The sequence below is a fragment of the Homo sapiens genome, chromosome 10 (assembly GCF_000001405.40).
Source record: "Homo sapiens chromosome 10, GRCh38.p14 Primary Assembly".
Classification (NCBI taxonomy): Eukaryota; Metazoa; Chordata; class Mammalia; order Primates; family Hominidae; genus Homo; species Homo sapiens.
In genome coordinates, this window is record NC_000010.11 from 69,951,569 (window position 1) to 69,971,142 (window position 19,574).

Here is a 19,574-nt window from a genome sequence, read left to right on the forward strand (position 1 = left end):
TGTCCAGGCTGGCCTCGAACTCCTGGCCTCAAGTGACCCTCCTGCCTTGGCCTCCCAAAATGCTGGGATTACAGACATGAGCCACCATGCCCAGCCTCACAACAAATTTTTGAGGCAGGTATTATTGTACTCATTTTACAGGTAAAGAAACTAAGGCTCAAAGAAGTAACTTCACAAAGTCACGCAGCTAACTGTCAGAACCAACTCTGACTGCAAGCCTTTGTTCTAATACGCTGCCCAGCATTCAGTGTCACCCTGGAGTGACACAGTTGAAGTCCCCAAGCGTTAGATAATCCCCCTTCCATAGAGGAGGGGAGCTCCCAGGAAGACTCCCTAGGGGCATACTGAGCCCCCTTTTTAGGAAACACATATAAAAATGCAAATGCAAATTCATTACAGAAGTGATGCTTCACTTTTAAAAAGAATTCCCCACAGCCCTTCTTTAAATAGACTCTGACACATACAATATAGGATTCAATTTAGAAAAATGATGTTTACTGTAGCTTTTCAGAAACAAATGAATTCCTTAAACCAACATATTCATATACAAATAACGGTCTGACTTCAGACCAGGATGAACCAGAGACACAGATAGAACAGGAGAAGCCAGCTGAGCACAAGGGGCCATCCGTGAGCTCTGGACACACACATACATATGTGCACATGGACACACATGCATAATAAAGGCACACACATGTGTTCACGTGCCCAAGCACATACCCACACACACTCAAACGTGGGCACACACACACATATACACAAGCACATACCTGTATACTCATACATACATATACACACATGTGCACAAGCACATATATGCATACACTCATACATGCTATGTTCACACACATCCCAGGGCTCCAAGCAAAATCACCTTGCCTCCTAATAGAATGTCAAAAGGATAAACATTAATTGGGGAAAAAAAAAGTTTTCACCCCAAAGCCTTTCAAAAACAGACTCAAAGAGAAGGAAGTTGGTCCCTAGCCACTGTGTTCAGCACAGACCCACGCTGGGCTTAGTATTAGCAAAACCGGCCACCAAAATCTTCAGTCTGTGGTTCCCTGCACCTGCAGCTCTGAGCCCTCTGCCTGTCCTCCCCTCCCCCTCCCACCCACCTTAGCCAAATTCTCAGGTTCCTGGGGGGTGGGGAGGAGGTGGGTATTGACTCCAAATCCTACTGGGGAGAATATCCTAATTTAAAGCATCTCTTTTTCCCTTTTTAATTTTATTTTTCTTTTTCTGTCTTCAACCTTAACACATGAATGATCTTAAAGTTTTGATGTTTTTTTCTCGGACTAAACCATTATTTACAGGGGGAGAGGGGGAAGAAAGGCTCTAGAGGGCCTAAAGGGGATAAGGGAGACCAAGGAGCGCCTGGATTAGATGCCCCCTGCCCATTGGTATGTTTTTGTTTATCACTTGCATTGTTCTGGTTTTTGTTCTTGAGGTTTGTAAGTTGGAAACAAAGAAGGCAAATAAACTAAGATGAGAACCAAATGTCTACACGGATGCTACCAAAATCTCTCTGTTCATTTGACTGGTGAAATTCTGCCCGCTGTTGGATTTGCTTTGTAACCACAGCTGCAAGTAATTCTGGCTAAATCCCTTGCCTTTGAATCCTTTTCCTTTGAAGATACAGAGCAATCGATGTGTGGAAGTGAGGAAACCACTAGGAAAGGGATTTTCAGGGAAGGCCTCAGCTCTTAGCTCCAGGATGGCTTTGGAAGCCAGTGTAGCATTTGTGAGCCACGGATTTGCCTTCTTCGTTTCATGGCCACCTCTGTGGGCCAGTAGTTCAAGCTGTCTGAATCCTCACTTGATCAGGATGCAGGACACCAGAGTTAGCGTCTCCTCAGGGCCACTGATGCTCAAAACTGGGCAGAACAAGGCCAGATGAGGGGCTTCTAATGCACAGCCTCCCAACACTCACCAGCCATCCAGCTGAAACCTTTAAAGCTGCAGACCAGAACTGGTAGTCAGACAGACACCCCATGGGAAGCCTTCTCAAAAGAGCCAGCAATTAATGATGAGGCACTTCTGCTGGGTTTCTCAAGTGCCTTTGAATCCATTTGAAGGTTCTAAAAATTATGATGCACTAAAGTTGAAGTTTGTCTGTGTTTACACTAAGTGAGTCTGTAGAGAGAGGAGGATCAACGGAGAGGGGGCAGGTTGTATGTGTGCAAAGCTGAACTCTCCAGAGCACAAAGAGAGCACAAAAGCTGGATTTGGGAGATGGGGGATCACCTGGGATTTAGCCCCTGTTTGTAGATGCCTCAAGGGTCCTGCATCCTGGCCAGGGTAGGACTGGGCCTCTCTATTCCATGGTTGGAGCTGGCCAGCCTTGACCTGAATAATCATCGTGGTTGGTTTTGTGAACAGGGACACCGAGGTTTTAAAGGAGAGAAAGGGGAGCCGGGGTTACCAGGGCTGGACGGACTGGATGCCCCATGCCCATTGGTATGGCATTGCCCTTGCTTGCCTGCATGGCCGATTTGGGCTTCCCCATGTGTGTGATTCATACTGGGTTTCTCCCCAGCCACCCTCCACACTCCTCCTCCATCCCCCCCAGGCTCCACTTCCCACTTCTTCATTCTGTAAATGCCAAGGGTCACCCCGCCTAGGCTAGTACTCTGGGGGCTCCCAGTCATGCCACCCTCTTGCATGCAAAGTTTACTGGGATGTTTCCTGGCTTCCTGCTGCAGCTACCTCTAAAGCACAGCCACTTGATGCCAGCCAGCTCTCCCACCCTGAAGTTGGTTTTGGCTGCCTCTGATACTCATCTCCAAGCTGATTCTAGACAAAGCTGCCACCAGATACCAGCTAGGAAAGTGGATTCTCTGGACTGGTTTTCAGAACCATGACTCACTTCTTTTCCTTCAGGCAGTGAAGTTAGTTCAGAATCACTGGCTGAGCACCTAGCGAAACATGTGAATGAGATGCCTGATCAGCCCTGTATCCCCTGCTCCTCCATCACATGATTTGGGGGACAGAAGGGCATGATTACAGAGTAGACTGAGAAGCTCTAGAAGTGAGCTGGAGGAGGGGCCACCTGCCTATTCTTCCAGGTTGGATCGTGGGTCGCTGCCCAGGTGACACCATCAGAACTAGGGGATGGTCCAGGATTAGGTTTTCGGATCCTAAAGGGTTTGTCCTTCTTGCTTAAATCTCCAAAGACATTACCAGACCCTTCCTCGTCCCTTTCTTTCATGATCAGATGGCTTCTTACTGAAGAGTCTGGGAGAGACGGAAAGGTCAAGAATGTAGTTAAGGAGGAGGCAGGGAGACAGCTAAGGACCTCTCTTCCAAGCACGTCCCAGGCGAAGTGGTAGCAGTTTATTCCCGCCTGCCCAGTCCCTCTCTAGGCATGGACAGTCTAGGCCTCCACGCTGATCCTCTTACTGCAAAAGAAGCTGAAGGGAACACTTCACTCCAAGGCTCAAGGGGTTACAGCTCTCCCCAAATTTCCCCAATAGGTTTGGAGTTCAAGAGCTATTTTATCATACCAGTAATAAGAGAATTTGGGGTCTCACATCCCCGCCCTGGGGTCACACAGGAATTCTCTTTGAACAAAAGAGAAAAAGATACAAGAAATTATGCTGTGTGACCCTGAAAGGTGGTCGTAGAGCCCCTTGAAGGGCAGTAGGGACTTTTTAGGAGGAGCATAGGCAACAAAAGGAGAGTGCAGAGCAAGCAGGCGGGTAGCATGCTTCCTGTCCCTGCTGGTCCTGCCAAACCCTGCGCTTGCAGACTGCACAGCCACCTTTCTCAACCAGGACTTCCACCATCCACGCACCAATGGGAATGCCGCTCTGGCCCGCAGGGGCTCCCTTGAGCACTGGCCAGGTCTTCCCTCAGCCACAATCCCCTCCCACAATCTGGGCACCTTTAGTTCTGCCAGCAGCTGCCTTGGCCTCTCTGTTCCTCACCATACATTACTTTTCATTCTCTGCCTGCCCTGCCCTCCATATCCCCCTGCCACCATCCACACACCAATGGGAATGCCGCTCTGGCCCACAGAGGCTCCTCTCCCTCCCGGCATCCATGTGACGTGTGTCATACCGCACCGTGGCAGGCTGGGGAAGGGGCACAGGGTCACCCTGAAACTGTGGAATGCACCTCCTCCCCCTGCAATCCCCTCCCCAACCCAGAGGGGAAAATGAAGGTCACCCTGATTTGACTCTCCATGTAAAATGGCATTTTCTTCCATAACATCCCATATCAATGTGTCAATTTTCTATTAATTTTACTGGGGAAGTGTCTTCCCCTTGTTTCTCACTCTGCCTCCTCCTCTGTGTTATTATGGGCTTGAGGGGCAGGGGTAGCTATTGCTCATGACTTTTACTACAAGATAACCAGACTTCCTAAGCCCTCCATATTGGGACCAATTTCTGCTGAATGCCAGGTGATGAGAGGTTTCAGCCCCTGGCGTGGGTGGATGACGTCAGACCAGGGCAGCAGAGGACTCTCATTCCACAAGCTCCCTCAGGACTGAGCACTTGCTCCGGGTCTCCTGAAGCCCCATGTCCATCTCCTTGTCTGCCCTGCCAGTCTAGCAGACTTGGGCTGAGAACCAGACCTTTGCCCTTGGCCCAGCCTCGCCTTCCCCACTGGGTCTCTAGATTTCTAGATTCCCCATAGGGTATGCCAGCAAGGAGAGGATATGAGGGCCCAAGAAAACTCAGGAAAGTTTCTATCACCAAGGGCAGAACACGAACATCTTGAGGCTAAAGGAGCTGCATGGTTGCTACCAACAAAGGAGACCGACGGTGTGCAGTTGATTCCCATGTTTTTACTGCACTTCACCCCCAAATTCCCAGCAAGGTCTAAGGCTTCGCCAGGAACCCTTGTCTTCTTGCCAAAGGCATGTCAGGGCCATCCTGCAATACTCATGAGGTTGCCTGTCCCTTCATGCCCCTCACCCCACCCCAGGATTAATCATCAAAGAAGGACTGTCTACATGTCCTCCTCCCTGTGCTTAGGAAGAGAGACAAATAAGAGAATGAGAAGGCTGGGAAGGCCCTTAGCGGTCACATCAAGCAACTGTCCTTGCCAAGGTTTTATGGAGGAGGAAACTGAGGCCGCCTTGTGCTGAGTGGCTTACCCGTGAGCAGCCGGCACTCCATAGGGCCACAGCAGAGACTGTTTCTTCGTGGCACGGAAGGACATCTCTGCTTGCTGGTCCCACGGGCTAGGACAGCCCCTATTGACGTTGCACTATAGCTGCATGTGACCTTTAACCAATGGTAAAATAGCCGGATTTGTTTCCACCTCCTTCTGAGGTTCTGACCTGTAGTAGAGAAAAGAAATAGACAAGCGTGGGTGGGCCACATCCTGATCAGCTGCCAAAATGCGTGTGGCCCTTGTTACCCCTGTCCTGCCCACTTGGTGGACCATTGCAGGAAGTCTGAGCCCTCTGCCTTCCTTTCTCCTTGCAGGGCGAAGATGGCTTACCAGTCCAAGGCTGCTGGAACAAGGTAAGGCTTCCCATTGGTGTGCACTGGGGCTCCGTTCTCAGCAGTGCCATAAAGCTTCCACAATTTCCATTCTGCCTTGCTACAGATGAGGCAGCAAGACATAGGTCAAATAGTCACTGTCTCAAAGGCAGGGTGCCCATTAAACATCCCATACACTGCATGCTGTTAACAAACATTTTAAAATGCTTCTTAGAACATCAGTAAACCCTAGGCGGAATGTCCATGCAGCCACACAGGTGACATCTTTATGCTTTGTGTGTTCAATGTACATAGTGTCTTTCCCCCAAGGAACTTCCCCAAGGAGTTCCAGATCACACTCATAGAGTTCCTCTAAGGTCGTTTATGCCACGTGATGACATGTCTTAGACGTAGGACATCTCAGTTGCTTTCACTCTGAACTCACATGCTACTGTGCCTCCCCTAGGGGCTGTGCTCCTCACCACTCTACCACTCCCCTTGCATTTAAGCTGGCAGAGCTTCATGCCACCACACATGTGACCTGCAGCCAAATCTCTCCTGGGCTCCCAGAGTTCCTACCAACAATGAGTTTTCATTGATTCACACTGGCCTTGGCATTTGCCATTGTTAGAGCAGTCTGACATCATAGGACTGTGCCCTTGCATGTGATCGCCCCATTCAACCATGGCTCCCCAGAGCACAGGGCTGCCCAGGCAGACAGAGGCCATCTGCTTGCTAACTAATCCAGAAGACCCGCCTTGGTCCCCAGCAATGGTGGCAGCCACTATGCTGCCCCATACCGTCTCCCTCCACCTTGCCTGTCACTCCAAGTCTTCTCACCAACCCCCCACCACCATTGTCTCAAGGTTCATCCTCATAAAGGGACCGGAGACTCCAACATGTTCAAGAATCTGTGCTCAACGAATCCAGTCCTGTTCCAGTGGCAGCAGAGTCACACTTACAATGAGATGAACAAGCTCCCCTGTACTAAGATGCCAGAATCTCACTAGTGCACTGGGTTGGGTAAAAGTGGTGAAACCACCAAGACCCCAGGCCAACGCTGACCACCTACCTGCCTGGATACCTAAAGCACCCCCTAACCCAAGAAGGAAAAGCTCAACACTCAAGAGAGATGCCTCCCCAGAATCCATCCCTGGAGGCTGGCCTCGTCCTCCTGCCAAGCTCCACTTAGACCTAGTTAAAGCGCCACAAAAGCAGGTCAGAGGTGTCATAAGACCTCTGAACCCTTGACCCCTAAAAAAATTTCCTCTTTAAAGTTGCTGCCAATGGTTAGGAGACAGAAATGGTTGTGCTTAGCAGGGGAAGAACAGCCACTACCAAGAGCTGCAATGTCTTGGAGAAGCAACCAGAGAGCTTCAAGACTACTCATTCACACCTTAAGTCCAATCTGGGACAATGCAGTGGTTACAACAATCAGGCCTCCAAAGGCAGCAGAGAAAGAGAGTGCCCTCTAGTGACCACAAAGGGGATTCACAGAGAGGTGAACTTGGTTTCCTCCCTTCAGGGAGCTAAGGTCGCCACCAGTTTCTTTCACCTAGGGGCTCAGGGTTCCCACAGTTCTCCTGTCCAGAACTCCCATCCAACCCAGGACAAGATTTACCTCCCTTCCTACAAAGGAAATAAACCTCTGCAGACCCACTGAAACTAACAGAACATTGTTTTGTTTTTGTTTTGCAGTGATGCCTCTAACCTTGGATTGGCCTGTGTGTGTGTTTGTACATAGAATATTTATTTTTATACAGTTTTCACTTTTTGAAAATGCCAGAAGTATGATGCATCTTACAGATTATTAAAAAAGAAAGAAAAACCTGCATATTTTGTACAGAAAATATCAACCTCTTCCCTTTTGTTTACAAGATGTTTTGTATAAGCCTATGTCTCTAATACATTTTTTGTTTGGTCGTAATGTCTGCATGATATTTGTGCACATTTATTAAGTATCGAAGCTTAATAAATTATTGTGTCCTGGTGCCAAAGGGGGCCAGCCAGAACTGAGGTGCTGGCTAGCTCATGTGTGAATTCACATAAATGTAGAGGTCCATGATATTTGCTAAGCTAGGTGTGTCTAAGAGTATTTTAAACCCTTATGGATTTTCATTATTAAAGGAAATGAAACATGGCAATTCATGATCCTGATTAATCATTATATTAAATACATTCTCTCCTGTGAAAGCAGGAATTCCCAGAAGTAGGGGTCCTCAGAAGTGTGGAGTAAGGTTTTGAAATGTGAGGTTCAACAAAGGGAGGGAAGGGAACTTTATCGAGCAATGTATGTTGTTACAGATCCCAAGTTTATCACAGTGCTTGCTGTGTGAGCATTTAGGTTCAGTTGTGCTAAGGGCACCCAGGGTTTCAAAGGAGCCATTTGCTCTTGCTGTTGGGTTATGGTAGGTTTTTGCTTGTTTGTTTTGCTTTGTTTTGTTTTGAGCTACAGTCCCTAGTACCAGCTATTGCTAATCACAGCTGTTGACTTGATATGAGTTTGTGGGTTCACTCACAACTAGCAGTTGAAGGAGCTTTGCCTCATCTGCTGTTCCACTCCAGCAAAGAGCATTCAGAAACATGCCTAGATCTGGGCTTGGGCTGGGCCAATCTGAAGTTGTTTTTATTTTTTTAAGAAATAATGTTGTATTGCTTTCCATATTTAGTGCATTGCTTAGAAAAGGTCTCAGGAAACCGGTTTTAATGACCAGTTAAGTCTTACCTGTGGTGTAGCATACAGGTTTATCGTTAGCTGTTTGACAACATAAATTCATGCTTCTAAAAGCTTGAAAACAACAAATTACTCCAGTACTTTACATACATCCCCATCTGGTTTACATTTTGCATTTTCTTTACACATCCTTTCTTCCTAGACAACGCAAAGGGAAATTTAACTTCAGACTCTGTCCACATGCTGTCACACAAAACTCTAAATTAGTGGGCTTCACAGTCATTAGACCCCTGCCATGTGTGGGGATGAGGTCACACTCACAAGCGCTCATGGTAATGAAATCACACGCAGCTCAGACCCAAAACGTCTATACCAACATTCTTACTCTAAATGTCACTAGCTTAGCTTAGAACTTGGACAACTTCCTCTTCTAAGTCTTGGGTTCCTCATTTGAAAAGTGAAGCAAGTCTGGGCAACATAATGAGACGCTCATCTCTACAAAAACATTTTTCAAAATTTAGCTGAGTGTGGTGACACTCGCCTGTAGTCCCAGCTACTCCGGAGGCTGAGGTGGGAAGATTGCTTGAGCCCAGGAGTTTCAGGCTGCAGTGAGCTATGATCGCACCGCTGCACTCCAGCCTGGGCAACAGAGTGAGACCCTGCCTTAAAAGAAAAAAAAGGAAAAAAAAAAAAAAAAGGAAGGAAAGAAAAAAGAAAAGTGAAGCCATGCAGTAGTGAACAAGAGTTGATCTCTGTGGACACAAAGAGGGTTCATCTGAACCCAGGGATGTTTCTTGCCCTGGGCCGGATTCTCATGGCCCTGTAGCCCAGGGACAACTTCTCCAGCAGCCACGGAGTACTTTTAGAGGCCACAAAAATATCTTAATTTTTCACCTTTTTAAATTTAGAAAAAAAAAATGAATATATAACAATGAATCCAGCCAGGATTGTTTTTGTCTTTCTACCAGCACAATTGTAAAATATAATTTTTTGTATTTTTTTAATGGAGGAAGGCAAAACTGCCCAGGGCCCCCAAAAGTCATAACGCAGCCCAGCCCACATCCTCTGCCCCTTAGAATTCACAGTCACCCTAGCTGCGGGTGTCCCCACCTCCAGGCCACACTCCTCCCCTCCCAGGCGAGGGCCCAGGCAATCAGGGTGTGACCCCGTTCTGACCCCCTCCCCTTCAGGCTCTGGCCAGGGCAATCACAGCTCACTGATGATCTCAGGATAGAGTAGAACATTCACTGGAACCCAGAAAGGGGAGAGTCAGTGTTAGCTGAATATCCTGGGTAAATGGGCAAAGAAACCTCTTTTGTTCCAGTCCTGGGGTTATTCATTTACTTATGACACTTTACCTACTGCCACAAAGGATTCAAAGTCACAAGAATCTATGTAATAAAATAGAAATGTGTGTAAAGAGAAGTTTAAAAGTCAGAGTCAAGGAAAACAAGTAGAGAGGAGACAGCTGTGGCTGGGAAGCCCAGGGGATGGGGAAGGTCCTTGCCGTAACTGAGGCAGGGTCACACACATCACTTCAGGCCACCTAGTGGTCACAGAAAAAAAAAAGGCTGGGCCTGGTTTCGGAGCCCACACTGCCCTGCCCAGTGGGTTGCAGCCCCCCGAGGTTTAGCCCCGTGTGTGTAAACACATTGTCTCCCCACACGGTTGTTGCTGCCATAGTACTCAGCCAGGACCCCACCCTATCACTGGACTGCACCCCGGGCTCCTGACTTCAGGCCCCTGCCCCCAAGCCTCTCCACTTGAATCTTGGCTGTGTGTCAAATGCAGTACAGGGAGATGAGAAGTAAAAAGACACGTGGTCAAAGAGTTTGCACAGTAGCTGTGAGTCCATACTAACGCCCAGCAGACCAGGACAACCAGGCGAGAAGAAACAATCCAGTGATGGAACAGGAGAAGCAGGCACATTGCAGGAGGGACCAGGGAAAGGCCAGCCCTATGGACAGGGGCCACAGAGGGCTTGCAGAGGAGAAAGACATGCTGTCTGTTTTGGGGGACTTGCGGCACCTCCTGGTGAGAACTGCCTGCCCAGGGAGCCAGAGGTGCACCCAGCCCTGCCCACTGAGCATGTTGGTGAAAGTTCTTTGTAAATTGTAAGGCACTGGGTCTTAAGGCCGTTTGTCTCCTGCAGTTCCTCTCTCATTCCAGTGCCTGTGGCTGCGTGCTCTGGCACAGCAGGACACATGCCTAGCGTTGTCCACCTGGATACCTGCAAAGAATGAGCCAGTACCCCATGGGTGACAGTGTGACCGGGTCATCTGGGCCCGAATGGTGCCTCTCCCCAAGGCTGGGGAGTTGTGGTTGTGGTCATGTGAGCCAAGGGAAGCCACATTGCTTCCCTTGCTGAGGGAAGAGGAGGCTCCTTCCACACATGCCCACCCCGCCCCATCTCCGCCCCACCCAGTGCTGGCCTCCCTTCCCCGGCCCTGCCTTCGCCTGGCAGAATGGCATAGGATGGAGCTGGGGAGGGTTGTCGTTAACCCATAAGTGGAGGAGGGCACTGGCCAGCAAGTCGAGAGACTCAGCTTCTAGTTCTTTCTCTACCATTACCTCACTGTGTGGCTTGGGCACCTTACTCCAGGTCTTAGTTTCCCCAAGCGTCAAGTGAAGAAGCTGGACATGGGTGACCTCCATAAAACTTTCCAGCTCCGACACCCTGAGGCCCTCTGGCCCCACAGGCAGGTCACCTCCTGGGAGGATTGTGGAGGCGGGAGTACTCCATGTCCCCCCCTCCACCTAGAGTTATTTGGCTGTGACAGTATTATGCATGGCATTGGTTTTGCAAAACTGTGTGTGGCATGTGTGTGCTTTGTAACCCCAAATAACAAAACTTGGAGTAGGCCTGTGCCACCCAGGAGTAGGGTGAGCGGGGTCAGCTTGCCTTAGGGCAAGAACAGCTGTAGGGGTTGTTTCTCACATTGGTGTCGACACAGAGGATGTATCAGAGAGAAAGCAATAAAGCACTGGCCACCTGACACACGCGGGAATCCCCAAGCCCCAACACACATTCAGGGACACCGCACTGGCATGGGGAGGCCCACCTCCCTCCCTCCTCTCAGGCCCACTGTGTCTCTCCCATTCACCACCCCACACACTCCCCCAGCGTGTCTCTCCCCTTGCCCTGGACTTGGACACATTTTCAGCCAGCATGAGACATCAAGCACCCAAGACTCCACATCATTGCAAAAGAAAAGAGTAGGCTCCCTGTGAGTGTTCAGAAAAAAGGACACCACATCAAGATGTGGAGCAGAGAAGGAAAGCAAGGGCAGGAGCAGCCGTTCACCTCTCAAAGGAGCAGAACTCCCAAGGGGTCGCTGAAGCAGGATGCCCCTCACTGTGGTGAAGGAAACAGGAGGATGGTGCAGGGAAGGGAGCCATGTCTTAGCCACTCAGGCAGAACTGGGTGCAATCCACATGCAAAGTGACCTCTGGCTGCTAGAAAAGTTCATCTCTGAGAAACAGCCAAGCACCTGTGGAAGGCGACTCAGAGGGAGGTAGAGGGCCACGGCCCCTGTACCCCCAGGGCCCTCCCCAGCAGGCCCACCTCCTTTCCAGGCCTGCCACTCACCCTGCGCACACACTTTGCTGCCCCTCCACACGCTTGCCCTAGCCGGGCCCTTACCTGGAGATGCCATTGCTTCTTATCTGCCTCCTTTCAAGGCCCAGCTCAGATCCCATGGCCCTGGAGAGACGGTTCTGGGCTCCTCAGTTGGTGGAGTCTCTCCTCCCTGCAACTGCCTGGAACTCAGTGTTCTTTTCTTCCTCCACTTTATGTGAGAGTGTGCAAAGGGGCTCTTCCATTTTTGATAGTGAACTCTTAAAGGGCAGGGACTTTCTTACTCCCAGGCTCAGGAGGGACCTAGCTCAGTGTCTCCCCTACAATCCAGCCATCGACGGGGGATCATACATATCTACCACCTGCTGAGTTATCAGCCAGCTTTGTTAAGCACCTGCTGTGTGCAGACACTGTGCTTCCTGCCAGGCTGGGAAGGAAAGGGAAGAGGCCCCTAGGACTGTAAGACCCAGCTCCTCCAGGAGCTTCACCAGAGCACACCCAAGAGCACACCCATCCACCCTCCAGGAGCTTCACCAGAACCACCAGGAGCACACCCATCAGGGACAAGTGTGCTAAGTGCTAAGTGAGAGGTACAGCCAGCCAGGGCAGGGGTGCTGAGGACAGAAGCTCCTGCGGTGGCCAGTGTGGACAGAATGAGCAGATGACTGAGTCAGCTGAGAGGGGTGTTACAAAGCAGAGATGGAGGAGCTGGCCCTGCATGTAGGCAGTCCCCACCCTGGGCTCAAGCTCCTTTCCTCGGTAGAATCTTCCAGTGAGCTCAAGCCTGGGCCATGCTCGCTTCTCAGGTAGGGGAGGACAAGTGGGATGGCGATGGAAGGAAGAGGGTAGAGAGGGCACCTCCCAACTCGGAGGGGCTGGGAGTCTGGCAGCCAGTGGCTGGGGGTGGGGGATGTCCTGGCCAGGGAGGCACCCCTGGATGTGCCTATCACCAGAGAGGTTCCTTCTCAAATGCCCCTTCTCTATACCTCCTCAAGGGCCAGAGTCCTTGGTTAGTCGCCAAGAAGTGAAGCCAGCAAGCCCAGAGCCCTGGGGAAAGCGCCTTGCCTTGGAGGAGGAAAGAGGTGGAGAAGCTGCCCCTGGACAGAGGGTCGCCAGCCGAATCCTTCCAGGGGGTACCTGGTTTGAGGGGATGATCAAAGTGTATTGTGACCTCAGGAGTGCAAGGATGGGCCTCTGTCCTCTCCAAGGGCTAGAGCTCAGCCAGGAAAGCCAAGGCCCCCACATCCGCACACCTCCAGCTCTCGTGGCCTGCTGAGGTGTCTGCTGCAGCCCCAGCCAGGACCCTCTGCTGTTGCTGCAATTTTGAGGGCTCTCGGACTCCTCTTGCTCATGAAGAATTGTGGTTCTGTGAGCAACCTCTCTGCAGAAGGGGCTGTCAGTACCATCCTGATCTGACTGGGAAAGCCTCCTCCCGAGGCAGGCCAGGCAGCTGTCACCTCTCCCACCTCTTCTCAACAGAGTTCCTTCAATTTCCTTTGGTGCTGCCACCATCAACCCTGTTACTTCCTGGGCTCTTTCCAGTGTCATAAGCAGACGAATGTACCAAGCTGGAAAAGCAAGGAGCGTTTGTCTTAGAAAGGACGGAACCGCAACATAATGGAGGAGAGAAGCCCAGGAGTAATACTGGGTGGCCATGCCGGGTGCCTGGGCTGGTCCTCAGAACCAGGAGCCTCACACATCTAGTCCGGTGCCCAGAGGTGCCCCAGCCAGTACTAAACTGACACAGACGGAGGCAGCAGTCTATGTAGTTTCAGGAGGGTCTGAAGTAAGCCCTCTTAGCAAAATTGTTGAAGGGACAGTGGCTGGAAATTAACCACCTTACATCTCCCTTTGTCATGACACTCAAACCACCTTGCTGCTTGCTTCTTCAGTGAATAGAATGACCATATTTTCTTGTTCTATCCAGGACACTTTGCAATTAAGAAGGGCCCTGGTAGTCAGTAGGCTGTGACAGCAGATGTCAACCTGGCAAACCAGCAGGTGGTCACAGTGACAATGACCCAATACCCACGTCATCCTCCAGCCCTTCCAAGCCAAGCTCTGGCAACAGCTCAACCCCTCCTGGTGCCTTGTAGCTGCAGCCATTCACCAATGGCCTCAGGTGTCCACAGGGCCAGGTGGACATTGTGTGGAGAACAAAGTGAACACGCCCCTGTTCTCACCTCCATGCACCTGGGCGAGTGGGATATGATCAGAACACAAATGACAACTCTCACCGAAGGCAGGACAGACAGGCCAGCGGAAGGCAGAAATGAAGGGCAGGGGACATTCAAAGGATAGAAAGATCTTGAATAAACAAACATTTGGAGGGAATTTTTCCCCGACACTATTTTAAGATGGAGAGGCTGGGTCGCCAGGGTTACCAGGCCATTCTGGTGATTTGACTTTAAATGCTGGGATTCTGACTTTAAATTCATAACAACATCTTTCCTCGGCCCTGGTGGGTTAAAGAAAATGCTTTAGAGCAAATTTAGTGTTTTCTCCCATTCACAGTATCTGGCCCACAAGGCTTGTGGGTTAAAGCACACTCCTGATCTTCATTTGATAACCTCATCTCTCTCCTCTCTTTTGGTGCTTATTGTAAAGTAGGAACAGCAGCCTCATTACATGGGGAGGAGCAGTATGTCCAGGGCTGCAAACAAATTGCGCAGGTCCATTGCGGCCCCGTTGGGGTCAAGGGCACATGTGCATGACTGGATGCAGCAAAAGTCACAGCTAATGCACCCCGATGGTGATCCAGATGTGATGTGAGGCTCAGTGGGTACTTAGAGATTTTTCACAGCCAAGTTAACCAGTCACCCAACCCTCCTGCCCTTCCCAGGGCATGGCAGAAATAAAAGGCATCCCTATTTAAAATGACACACGTGTGAGTGGGTTTGAGGATTCCAGATGACTCACAGGATCCTGTACATTTGTATATAGTCAAATGGTCTTCATCTCCTGCCAGCAAACCACCCCGCTCTAAACCTACAACAGTCGAGGAAGACAAACCCATCACGACCACCTTCTAAGAAGACACAGCCAAGTCCCAGGGCTCACTGTAAGATCACAAATGCAGTGAAACTGCTTGCTAAGAGACATTTTTCTTGCACTCCACTCATTCCAAAGACAAAGCAATTTATTGCAAAGTCTGCCAAAATAAACGTGCCTGCAGCTCCCCCAGCCAGTGGGAAAGCACTTGGGCTGGGATGGGAGTAAGGAGATCGGGTGCTTGCTCCGGCCACAGCGTGCTAGCAGAGTGACCGTAGGCAAGTGCCGCCCATGCTCTGAGCCTCCAGTCCCTCATGTGTGACCTGGGGCAGGCACTGCCTACCTCCCAGGTGATATGAGGGCTATCTCTGTGGAAGCACTTGGAACACAGTAAAGAGCCATGCAAAGGCTAGACAATGCGATTGCTAGTGTTTGCTGTTCAGAAAAACAAAAAACAAAAAATAACCTTGCTTTTCATAGACAAACCTCAATTACATGGAATCACTTAAGAATGGTTCGTTAAAATTTCTGGTGAAATTAGGTTCAAAGAGGACCTCCTTGGAGGCATGAAGAAGGCCTGACTGATAAACACTGTGGACACTGAGTAATGAAGATGTGGAAATGGTGGCCAGCTTGGGGAAAGACATGAGGATAGATCTAGGAAGTTGCTTTTTCAAACTAAAGTCCATAAATGTTCATAAGAGATTTTTTTCCCTTTCTCCTAGAAAAGTCAGCAACTTAAATTATTTTTGCTTTAAAATTCCAGTTCCCCATATTGCTCGTTAAATGAGGTTTTTCTCTTCAGAGGGCTCCAGCCTGCAATGTTTCCTCCATCCTGGTCCTGCCCCCACCTCCCTCCTTCTATCTCCTGCCCCCCTGTGCCCTTGGAGACACGCTGGGCAGACTCCCCATGTGATCAATCTGACGTCTTAAGTTTAAACGTCATTACCTCAGTATATCAGCAGAAAAAGTTCTATTTCATTGTGTCTTGTGGCAAACTTCAGTTCGGTTAATGGAGGGTTTCGTATACTTTTAAAAGTAAGTCAGGCTGGGTGCAGTGGCTCACCCCTGTAATCCCCAGCACTTTGGGAGGCCAAGATGGGAGGATCACTTCAGGTCAGGAGTTCGAAACCAGCCTGGCCAACATGGTGAAACCCCGTCTCTACTAAAAGTACAAAAAATTAGCCAAGTGTGGTGGCGGGCGCCTGGAGTCCCAGCTACTCAGGAGGCTGAGGCAGAAGAATTGCTTGAACACAGGAGGCGGAGGTTGCAGTGAGCCAAGATTGCACCACTGCACTGTAGTCTGGGCAACAGAGCGAGACTCTGTCTTAAAAAAAAAAAAAAAAAAAAAAAATATATATATATATATATATATATATATATATATATATATATATATGAAAGTAAGGCAGAACCTAATTTTCAGAATTGCATAACGACGGTCACAGCTGACCGACTGGTTCCACATATTAGGCACTAGGAAAAAAAGATTTTCCAGAGTAATCCCTAGATGATGAAAGCACGAACTCATTACTTTTTTTCTTGCAGTAGTTATTTTTGTTAAGGACCTGTCCATACTGCAGGCAGTGGGTATTTTGTATGGAAGAAGAAAACATTTATCTGCATACAGTATGCTGGTTTTTTTAATCATTTCTGTTTCAATGTAAAGGCAAGGTGCCTTCATTTTGCTAACTGTTGTACATTTCCTATGACTTTTAAAATGTTGTTTCCCCTGAACTCTCCTTCAGGACAGAAGCGCCCCCAGTGAGGCCATCTGGTGCTAAGCCCCCAACGTGAGGCCTTCCCGGCTCCTCACCTAAGGTTTCCCAACCACACACATGCCCAACATGACCCCTGCCAGAGCCCCCTGTCCACCCTCGTGCCTCTTACCAAAAAGAAGTCATTTCCCAAAACCCAGGGCCTTTCCCGGGCTGACAGGTCAGTCACCGTCTCTGTGTGTGCCATGTTCACATCCTTAGGGAGCCCCTGGCTCACATCTCCTCGTGGTACCAAGCAGATGGTAGGAGAGCTTCAGAGTCTTCTACCTTCTTGCTGCTCTTTGGCACGTTACCATATGGCCTCCAAAGCTCCAGAGCAAACTCTGACCCTTCACAGAATCTGACCCCAGCCCTTCAGCTCTGATGGTTCCTTTGGCCATAGCTCTCCCTAACACAGTCCCATTTCCTTTTGGTGTCCTCTGACGATTCCTCACCCCTTTCTCTTGCATCGCCCCCTTGTTAACTGTTTTCTTTATTTTTCAATACTCTCTTATCGGCTCCTCACCCCCAGACCCCTTGGCTCCCTCCCCTGTTCCTGTCTCCATCTCTTTTCGTCTCCATTCCGATGCCCCTGACCATTCCCTCTGCCCCCAAGGCCTCCAGACACTTCTTTCAGCACAGCCCACTGATCACTACCACAGCTCACCTCTGCAAAACGACACCCAGGGAGAAAACATCAACAATATTGTCAACCTTGTGACAGTTTTGTTTTCCTGTCAAACACTCCTGGTGCCTTTCATTTAAATAGATTCTTTGACAGATATATCTTAGTAGGTTCCCTTTCAGGGGAAAAAAAATGTACATTTTTAAAATTTTTAGTTTTAGTTTATGTTCTAAGTCTCATAAAACACTGCTATTAGGTCCTACGGGTAAAGAAATGTTTTGGGTTTTTTTGTTTTTTGGCTTCATGGTCATAAGCAAAGTGTCTAGGGTTTCCTGTTGGTGTCAGGTCCGACATGTCACAGCAAACTCCTCAGCACAGGCCTGTGACACACTCAGCTCAGGAGAGGGCAGCAGCCAACTACAATGCAAAGGGATGGATTCCGCTTCCTGGTCTTTAAAACCAAAAGGGAAGACCAGGTGTCCTACTTTGTGCTTCTATAATTCAGTAACTTTTCTGTTGATTTCAGTAAGTCAAACACACTTTTCTTTAGGCCTACTGGATTTTGTTGATTTAAAGAGATGTTCTGGCTCAGGCTTGAGTTGATACCCACCCTTTCCCCACCAAACCCGGGCGGAAAGTTACAGTGAACAAAGAAGGGCTACAGTTCCCCATGCTGAGAAGACGAGCAAGTGCTTCCAGAAATGCTCTTTCCTTTCAGAGAGGGAATCCATTTGGCTTCCCTTCAGTGCATGGCTTGGTGGAATCTGGGATTAGATCCCCAACAAGCGATGAGACATCCAGAGAAACGGAGTGCCTGGTATTTATGGCAGAATATAGAATAACTCGTCTTTTTCTTAACCAATTCTTTAGTTTATGGTTTAGCCAAAAGTAAGCAAGCCAGTTCCATGGCCATCCAAGACCCTGAGAGAAGATCCCCCACCAATATTTCCCATGAATGATCAGGGGTCTACAGAGTTTCCATCACCGAAGCCATTTGAGTTCAGTGTACACGCTCTGGAATGATCAATGTAAAAATGTCAATCTCTAAGTGGTTCTGTTGCCAAAAGAGTTTATAGATTGTGTTGAAGAGAAAATCAGCACCTGTGTTTTCTGTGGTGTTACTGCAGGGTTCATATAGAATGGAGTGATGTCTCTGGGAATATGGTTGTGCAGGGACCATGTTAAAACAGGTGTCACATGAGCTGTCACCCAGCAGGGGTAGAGACAGAACAGAGCAATGTCCTACTATATTAATTGGCAAGAAAATACGCTGTTAACTGGCACACAAACTCACAGGAACTGGCCGCTCCTATATCGAGACACAGCCTCCAGTCTTCCTATCAAAATATTAACTTAATATCAACCAAAGATGTCCCTCCCCACTTTGAGAGGAGCCCTCAAGGAAGTCTGATTTCTCCAGCTGTTTTCTGAAATAGCCACTTGTGTGGGTGTCCTTCTGGGTCCTGAGGCACTCACATAGGGTTCTTCAAATATGCGTGGTGTTGATTGTCAGTGCCCATAGCCCCCAGCCTGTCCACACCAGGCTGCTGACCATAGTATGAGGGAGAAGTCTTCTGCAGAACCTGGCGACCCCAGAGCGGCATTCCACTGGGTGGTAGTAATCCCAGAGCATAGTGGTCTCTGTGGGCCTCCCATGGCCCTGGCCACACATGCAGCCTCTTGGTGCTGACCAAAGGGACCCCTCCTGTGCAGAATACCTGTGCCTTCAACCACAGTTTTTCTCCAATAATCCATAACTACTTTAGTCTGTTACACCAGACTCCACCAAGCACAAAATCATCCCGTGGCCTCTTTGGTTGATAATCTAAAAAGGGGGCTCCACGGAATTTTAATTAGTCTATAATTTTGAGAGCTTTCTTTATAAGAAAGAGTATAGAATCTCATATCATATTTCAGCAATTTAGTAAAAATAGCATTTTGCTGGGAAAAGAATACTAAGGGGAGGTGCCTGGTTCCCTTGTTCTTAATACTTCCTTTCTGCCCAACTGAACACTGCAAACTTCCACGGCAGCCCAGGATGATCTTGCCTGTTTATTAAAGCAATTGGATTTTATACATTTGATACTTTAGCTCTTTTGTTTAAACTTTTTTTCTTGTTATTTGGTGTACAATATTTAAATGTACAGTATTTTATCTCCATAATTAGCTTAATTATAGAACAGAGTTTCTCTTCCTTCTCATAGTCTTCAGATAATTCAGAAATGTTTAAATCTTCGCACCCACTTTATATATGTTGTGCTGTTTCTAACTTCATATATGTAAATACTTTTTGACATACTTTGGTGTTTCAAGTTCTGTCTCTACTTTTATTGTGATCATTATCACCATGATTCTGTTATCATTCTTAATGTTGGATTTTTTTTCTGGTGCACTCTATTTTTTTAATCACCTTGGATATTTTGAAAGTATGTTAGCTATTTGTGTACGTAGACATAGGAAAGTGCTGTGCTTAAATTAAGCTGTAAGCTCTCTGATAGACAGATATTGACCTTAAAAT

At 48.6% G+C, this 19,574-nt stretch overlaps 1 protein-coding gene and 1 long non-coding RNA gene across 44 annotated transcripts in view, besides 2 other annotated features; one reads left to right on the plus strand and one right to left on the minus strand.

Annotated features, from left to right (window-relative positions):
- The window catches only part of COL13A1 (collagen type XIII alpha 1 chain), a 157,239-nt gene extending 149,663 nt beyond the window's left edge, over positions 1–7,576 (plus strand). For 23 of the 42 annotated variants that reach the window (XM_047424600.1, NM_001368882.1, XM_011539294.4 and 20 more), the window contains 3 exons: positions 1,314–1,400; positions 5,436–5,474; positions 7,131–7,576. In XM_047424600.1, the coding sequence (XP_047280556.1) occupies positions 1,314–1,400; positions 5,436–5,474; positions 7,131–7,133 (129 nt within the window). In that variant the 3' untranslated portion in view covers positions 7,134–7,576. Of the gene's footprint in view, positions 1–1,313; positions 1,401–2,379; positions 2,458–5,435; positions 5,475–7,130 lie in introns of all 42 variants that reach the window. The other 19 variants (XM_047424601.1, XM_047424605.1, XM_047424606.1 and 16 more) reach the window with 2 other exon arrangements.
- On the minus strand, positions 3,327–12,756 carry LOC107984242 (uncharacterized). 2 transcript variants are annotated; one of them, XR_007062181.1, is made up of 4 exons: positions 12,670–12,756; positions 11,750–11,855; positions 5,102–5,287; positions 3,327–3,410 (listed from the first exon to the last, which is right to left on the minus strand). It is a non-coding gene; the product is annotated as an uncharacterized LOC107984242 (long non-coding RNA). The 2 variants fall into 2 exon arrangements; XR_007062180.1 differs by having other exon boundaries at positions 11,750–11,861; positions 12,670–12,755.
- Positions 5,251–5,320: a silencer, noted in NCBI's record as "silent region_2438". NCBI's record gives its function as "represses an Ori minimal core promoter by ATAC-STARR-seq in GM12878 lymphoblastoid cells {active_cell/tissue: GM12878}" and the evidence as "EXISTENCE:reporter gene assay evidence [ECO:0000049][PMID:35858748]".
- Positions 9,770–10,270: an enhancer, noted in NCBI's record as "H3K4me1 hESC enhancer chr10:71721094-71721594 (GRCh37/hg19 assembly coordinates)". NCBI's record gives its function as "activates a minimal SCP1, AML or CMV promoter by ChIP-STARR-seq in primed H9 embryonic stem cells {active_cell/tissue: H9 hESC(primed)}" and the evidence as "EXISTENCE:reporter gene assay evidence [ECO:0000049][PMID:30033119]".
- Positions 12,757–19,574: the final 6,818 nt, after the last annotated feature.